We start from the raw sequence: 7,646 nt of genomic DNA, 5'->3' as shown, positions 1-7,646 counted from the left end.
TGGTGCATGACTGTTTTCACTTTATTTTTGTTTTTGTTTGTTTGTTTTTTCTTTTTGAGACAGGCTCTTGCTCTGTCACCCAGGCTGGAGTGCAGTGACATAATCACAGCTCACTGCAGCCTCAACCTCCCAGGCTCAAGTGATCCTCCCACCTCAGCCTCCCAAGTAGCTGGGATTACAGATGTGCACCACCATGCCTGGCTAATTGTTTGAAATTATTTTTTGTAAAGATGGGGTCTCACTATGTTACCCAGGCTGGTCTCAAACTCCTGGGCTCTAGCAATCCCCCCACCTTGGCCTCCCAAAGTGCTGGGATTACAGGAGTGAGCCAACACATCTAACCTGTTTTCATTTTAACTCAAAAGTACACAATAGAAGAAAACTTATACTGGAAAATGTAGCAAGAAAGAAACAATGATCAGCTTATTGAGGGCTTTATGATATTGTGCTTGGACATTAAATCTGGAGGTAGCGAAACCCCAGAGTGTTGGAAGCTAGATTCTGCCTGTGTCTCTCTGGTCCAGAATGATCTCTTAGGTTGCAGTGGAGAGGGTGAACTGTGAGGGAACAGATTAAAGACAGGGGCCCAGGTAAGAAACAGCTGTCATGGAGTAAGATATAGGTGGAAATTGAGTCCTAATATCTTTTCAACCATCTGGGACACCTAGTCTCTCATATCAGTTTCTACAAAGATGTACAATAGAGGTTGGGTGATGTGATGTCATTTAGGTCCTCTGACAAGCCTTCTCAAGAGTGTGGGAGGTGAGTTGCTCCCATACACATTCTCATCAAGTCATCTTTCTCTCCATCTACCCCCAAGAATGGGAGTTAGACAGCAACAGACAATTCAAACAATGTGAGTATCCAAAACTGACAAAGCAGATTTTTTGGAAGTTTAGCAATTGCCAAGTGAAAAACTTGATGGTTCATTTAACACTTTAAAGCAATGTACCTAATGGCAATTCATGTAGGAAGATTGGAAGTGGATTTTTATGCAAAAATGCCTGGAATGACTTGCATCTGGCCTATGACACACCATCAACATCCTCTATCTCCTCACCCCCAAGACTGCTGGTAGCTTCTATTTTTGGCAAAACAGACCAACCTGCTTCGAGGTGTCCTTTATTTTCCTGGGATTTGGAAGGTTGTGCCATAGCATTTGTGGACAGAACATATTCACAGTAGCAAGACACTGAGAGGAAAGAGGGCATCCGCTGGCATTGCTGACAGTTTTCTGGGAGCTCTCTCACAAGCAGGCAGCCTTGAGATGTCCAGGGTTCGACAGCAACAGATCAGTGACACATTGCTTAGAATCTGCTATTAATTAAAAAGTGATATTACGGGGGGAGGAGCCAAGATGGCCGAATAGGAACAGCTGCGGTCTACAGCTCCCAGAGTGAGCGACGCAGAAGAAGGGTGATTTCTGCATTTCCATCTGAGGTACCAGGTTCATCTCACTGGGGAGTGCCAGACAGTGGGCGCAGGTCAGTGGGTGCGCGCACCGTGCGCGAGCTGAAGCAGGGCGAGGCGTTGCCTCACTCGGGAAGCGCAAGGGGTCAGGGAGTTCCCTTTCCTAGTGAAAGAAAGGGGTGACGGACGGCACCTGGAAAATCGGGTCACTCCCACCCAAATACTGCGCTTTTCCGACGGGCTTAAAAAACGGCGCAGCACGAGATTATATCCCGCACCTGGCTCGGAGGGTCCTACCCCACGGAGTCTCGCTGATTGCTAGCACAGCAGTCTGAGATCAAACTGCAAGGTGGCAGCGAGGCTGGGGGAGGGGCGCCCACCATTGCCCAGGCTTGCTTAGGTAAACAAAGCAGCCAGGAAGCTCGAACTGGGTGGAGCCCACCACAGCTCAAGGAGGCCTGCCTGCCTCTGTAGGCTCCACCTCTGGGGGCAGGGCACAGACAAACAAAAAGACAGCAGTAACCTCTGCAGACTTAAATGTCCCTGTCTGACAGCTTTGAAGAGAGCAGTGGTTCTCCCAGTACGCAGCTGGAGATCTGAGAACGGGCAGACTGCCTCCTCAAGTGGGTCCCTGACCCCTGACCCCCGAGCAGCCTAACTGGGAGGCACCCCCCAGCAGGGGCACACTGACACCTCACACAGCAGGGTACTCCAACAGACCTGCAGCTGAGGGTCCTGTCTGTTAGAAGGAAAACTAACAAACAGAAAGGACATCCACACCAAAAACCCATCTGTACATCACCATCATAAAAGACCAAAAGTAGATAAAACCACAGAGATGGGGAAAAAACAGAACAGAAAAACTGGAAACTCTAAAACGCAGAGCGCCTCTCCTCCTCCAAAGGAACGCAGTTCCTCACCAGCAACGGAACAAAGCTGGACAGAGAACGACTTTGACGAGCTGAGAGAAGAAGGCTTCAGACGATCAAATTACTCTGAGCTACGGGAGGACATTCAAACCAAAGGCAAAGAAGTTGAAAACTTTGAAAAAAATTTAGAAGAATGTATAACTAGAATAACCAATACAGAGAAGTGCTTACAGGAGCTGATGGAGCTGAAAACCAAGGCTCGAGAACTACGTGAAGAATGCAGAAGCCTCAGGAGCCGATGCCATCAACTGGAAGAAAGGGTATCAGCAATGGAAGATGAAATGAATGAAATGAAGCGAGAAGGGAAGTTTAGAGAAAAAAGAATAAAAAGAAATGAGCAAAGCCTCCAAGAAATATGGGACTATATGAAAAGACCAAATCTACGTCTGATTGGTGTACCTGAAAGTGACGGGGAGAATGGAACCAAGTTGGAAAACACTCTGCAGGATATTATCCAGGAGAACTTCCCCAATCTAACAAGGCAGGCCAACGTTCAGATTCAGGAAATACAGAGAACGCCACAAAGATACTCCTCAAGGAGAGCAACTCCAAGACACATAATTGTCAGATTCACCAAAGTTGAAATGAAGGAAAAAATGTTAAGGGCAGCCAGAGAGAAAGGTCGGGTTACCCTCAAATAGACTTTAAACCAACAAAGATCAAAAGAGACAAAGAGGCCATTACATAATGGTAAAGGGATCAATTCAACAAGAAGAGCTAACTATCCTAAATATATATGCACCCAATACAGGAGCACCCAGATTCATAAAGCAAGTCCTGAGTGACCTACAAAGAGACTTAGACTCCCACACATTAATAATGGGAGACTTTAACACCCCACTGTCAACATTAGACAGATCAACGAGACAGAAAGTCAACAAGGATACCCAGGAATTGAACTCAGCTCTGCACCAAGTGGACCTAATAAACATCTACAGAACTCTCCACCCCAAATCAACAGAATATACATTTTTTTCAGCACCACACCATACCTATTCCAAAATTGACAACATACTTGGAAGTAAAGCTCTCCTCAGCAAATGTAAAAGAACACAAATTATAACAAACTATCTCTCAGACCACAGTGCAATCAAACTAGAACTCAGGATTAAGAATCTCACTCAAAACCGCTCAACTACATGGAAACTGAACAACCTGCTCCTGAATGACTACTGGGTACATAACGAAATGAAGGCAGAAATAAAGATGTTCTTTGAAGCCAACGAGAACAAAGACACAACATACCAGAATCTCTGGGACACATTCAAAGCAGTGTGTAGAGGGAAATTTATAGCACTAAATGCCCGCAAGAGAAAGCAGGAAAGATCCAAAATTGACACCCTAACATCACAATTAAAAGAACTAGAAAAGCAAGAGCAAACACATTCAAAAGCTAGCAGAAGGCAAGAAATAACTAAAATCAGAGCAGAACTGAAGGAAATAGAAACACAAAAAACCCTTCAAAAAATTAATGAATCCAGGAGCTGGTTTTTTGAAAGGATCAACAAAATTGATAGACTGCTAGCAAGACTAATAAAGAAAAAAAGAGAGAAGAATCATATAGACGCAATAAAAAATGATAAAGGGGATATCACCACCGATCCCACAGAAATACAAACTACCATCAGAGAATACTACAAACACCTCTACGCAAATAAACTAGAAAATCTAGAAGAAATGGATAAATTCCTCAACACATACACTCTCCCAAGACTAAACCAGGAAGAAGTTGAATCTCTGAATAGACCAATAACAGGATCTGAAATTGTGGCAATAATCAATAGCTTACCAACCAAAAAGAGTCCAGGACCAGATGGATTCACAGCTGAATTCTACCAGAGGTACAAGGAGGAACTGGTACCATTCCTTCTGAAACTATTGCAATCAATAGAAAAAGAGGGAATCCTCCCTAACTCATTTTATGAGGCCAGCATCATTCTGATACCAAAGCCTGGCAGAGACACAACCAAAAAAGAGAATTTTAGACCAATATCCTTGATGAACATTGATGCAAAAATCCTCAATAAAATACTGGCAAAACGAATCCAGCAGCACATCAAAAAGCTTATCCACCATGATCAAGTGGGCTTCATTCCTGGGACGCAAGGCTGGTTCAATATACACAAATCAATAAATGTAATCCAGCATATAAACAGAGCCAAAGACAAAAACCACATGATTATCTCAATAGATGCAGAAAAGGCCTTTGACAAAATTCAACAACCCTTCATGCTAAAAACTCTCAATAAATTAGGTATTGGTGGGACATATTTCAAAATAATAAGAGCTATCTATGACACACCCACAGCCAATATCATACTGAATGGGCAAAAACTGGAAGCATTCCCTTTGAAAACTGGCACAAGACAGGGATGCCCTCTCTCACCACTCCTATTCAACATAGTGTTGGAAGTTCTGGCCAGGGCAATTAGGCAGGAGAAGGAAATAAAGGGTATTCAATTAGGAAAAGAGGAAGTCAAATTGTCCCTCTTTGCAGATGACATGATTGTATATCCAGAAAACCCCATTGTCTCAGCCCAAAATCTCCTTAAGCTGATAAGCTACTTCAGCAAAGTCTCAGGATACAAAATCAATGTACAAAAATCACAAGCATTCTTATACACCAACAACAGACAAACAGAGAGCCAAATCATGAGTGAACTCCCATTCACAATTGCTTCAAAGAGAATAAAATACCTAGGAATCCAACTTACAAGGGATGTGAAGGACCTCTTCAAGGAGAACTACAAACCACTGCTCAAGGAAATAAAAGAGGATACAAACAAATGGAAGAACATTCCATGCTCATGGGTAGGAAGAATCAATATCGTGAAAATGGCCATACTGCCCAAGGTAATTTACAGATTCAATGCCATCCCCATCAAGCTACCAATGCCTTTCTTCACAGAATTGGAAAAAACTACTTTAAAGTTCATATGGAACCAAAAAAGAGCCCTTATTGCCAAGTCAATCCTAAGCCAAAAGAACAAAGCTGGAGGCATCACACTACCTGACTTCAAACTATACTACAAGGCTACAGTAACCAAAACAGCATGGCACTGGTACCAAAACAGCATGGTACTGGTACCAAAACAGAGATATAGATCAATGGAACAGAACAGAGCCCTCAGAAATAATGCCGCATATCTACAACTATCTGATCTTTGACAAACCTGAGAAAAACAAGCAAGGGGGAAAGGATTCCCTATTTAATAAATGGTGCTGGGAAAACTGGCTAGCCATATGTAGAAAGCTGAAACTGGATCCCTTCCTTACACCTTATACAAAAATCAATTCAAGATGGATTAAAGACTTAAACGTTAGACCTAAAACCATAAAAACCCTAGAAGAAAACCTAGGCAATACCATTCAGGACATAGGCGTGGGCAAGGACTTCATGTCTAAAACACCAAAAGCAATGGCAACAAAAGACAAAATTGACAAATGGGATCTAATTAAACTAAAGAGCTTCTGCACAGCAAAAGAAACTACCATCAGAGTGAACAGGCATCCTACAAAATGGGAGAAAATTTTCGCAACCTACTCATCTGACAAAGGGCTAATATCCAGAATCTACAATGAACTCAAACAAATTTACAAGAAAAAAACAAACAACCCCATCAAAAAGTGTGCAAAGGACATGAACAGACACTTCTCAAAAGAAGACATTTATGCAGCCAAAAAACACATGAAAAAATGCTCATCATCACTGGCCATCAGAGAAATGCAAATCAAAACCACAATGAGATACCATCTCACACCAGTTAGAATGGCAATCATTAAAAAGTCAGGAAACAACAGGTGCTGGAGAGGATGTGGAGAAATAGGAACACTTTTACACTGTTGGTGGGACTGTAAACTAGTTCAACCATCGTGGAAGTCAGTGTGGCGATTCCTCAGGGATCTAGAACTAGAAATACCATTTGACCCAGCCATCCCATTACTGGGTATATACCCAAAGGACTATAAATCATGCTGCTATAAAGACACATGCACACGTATGTTTATTGCGGCACTATTCACAATAGCAAAGACTTGGAACCAACCCAAATGTCCAACAATGATAGACTGGATTAAGAAAATGTGGCACATATACACCATGGAATACTATGCAGCCATAAAAAATGATGAGTTCATGTTCTTTGTAGGGACATGGATGAAATTGGAAATCATCATTCTCAGTAAACTATCACAAGAACAAAAAACCAAACACCTCATATTCTCACTCATAGGTGGGAATTGAACAATGAGATCACATGGACACAGGAAGGGGAAAATCACACTCTGGGGACTGTTGTGGGGTGGGGGGAAGGGGAAGGGATAGCATTGGGAGATATACCTAATGCTAGATGACGAGTTAGTGGGTGCAGTGCACCAGCATGGCACATGTATACATATGTAACTAACCTGCACAATGTGCACGTGTACCCTAAAACTTAAAGTATAATAATAAAAGAAAAAAAAGAAAAAAAAAGTGATATTATAGCTATACAAGAAAAAACGACTAAGCTTTATACGTAGAATGGCCATTGTCCAAGCCAGAACACTTTTGAGAGTGAAAGAACACACTATTAATAATTGTGGTGGGAAGAGAGAAGTTTACAAGAGAAGTAAACCTGAACTATCCCCTGCGAACAAGGAAAGGTTGTCATATGGCCCTGTCTCACTGCTCTGTTCACCTGTAAAATGAAACACTTCACATAGGTAACTTTTCCAGGTAACTGAAATTTACCTTATATGAGCTTTTATTTGCTTTCCTTTTTGCTACTGTTGATGAAAGCATTTCTAAAAAGTTAAACTACTCCTCAATAACCAATATATTTTATCTTTTTCTCAATGGTTTAGAATCACCTTTTGCCTGACACAGAGTTGACTTGCAGAGTAGTTGAATGAATCACTAAATTATTATAAACAATTATTATGGTGTATTGTACAATATACCACAAGCACTCACAGGGAATTTGAGTAAGTTATTTTTGCCTCTCTTGACCCAGTTTTCTTAGATCTAAAATTGAGAGCTAAAGAGAGAAGGGTCTTGCAGGTCCCTTCAAATTCTAATAGTCTATGTTTGAATTTATTAATTTGCTCCCAGAAGTGATCGTCATTTTAATGAAGCTACCTGTGAAAAATATTTTAAAGAGGAACAGAAGACACAACATGTAATTTGTGAGGAGTCCACGTGGCTCTAAAGTAGCCATTTTCCATTTGGAAAGGACTTAGTTACACTCTTGTGCCTAAAGTAGTGACTTAACAATGAAAAAGAGACAGCATTTTCCCACCTCTGTGGTTCCCTTGCTTTCTCGTGCA

At 41.8% G+C, this 7,646-nt stretch overlaps 2 annotated features.

The window, feature by feature from the left end:
* Positions 700 to 1,435: an enhancer, noted in NCBI's record as "OCT4-NANOG-H3K27ac-H3K4me1 hESC enhancer chr2:16416769-16417504 (GRCh37/hg19 assembly coordinates)". NCBI's record gives its function as "activates a minimal SCP1, AML or CMV promoter by ChIP-STARR-seq in primed H9 embryonic stem cells {active_cell/tissue: H9 hESC(primed)}" and the evidence as "EXISTENCE:reporter gene assay evidence [ECO:0000049][PMID:30033119]".
* Positions 1,436 to 2,171: an enhancer, noted in NCBI's record as "NANOG-H3K27ac-H3K4me1 hESC enhancer chr2:16416033-16416768 (GRCh37/hg19 assembly coordinates)". NCBI's record gives its function as "activates a minimal SCP1, AML or CMV promoter by ChIP-STARR-seq in naive and primed H9 embryonic stem cells {active_cell/tissue: H9 hESC(naive and primed)}" and the evidence as "EXISTENCE:reporter gene assay evidence [ECO:0000049][PMID:30033119]".

Source organism: Homo sapiens, chromosome 2 (assembly GCF_000001405.40).
Source record: "Homo sapiens chromosome 2, GRCh38.p14 Primary Assembly".
NCBI lineage: Eukaryota > Metazoa > Chordata > Mammalia > Primates > Hominidae > Homo > Homo sapiens.
Note: the sequence above shows the minus strand (reverse complement) of the source record. Positions and strands in the feature narration are given on the sequence as shown.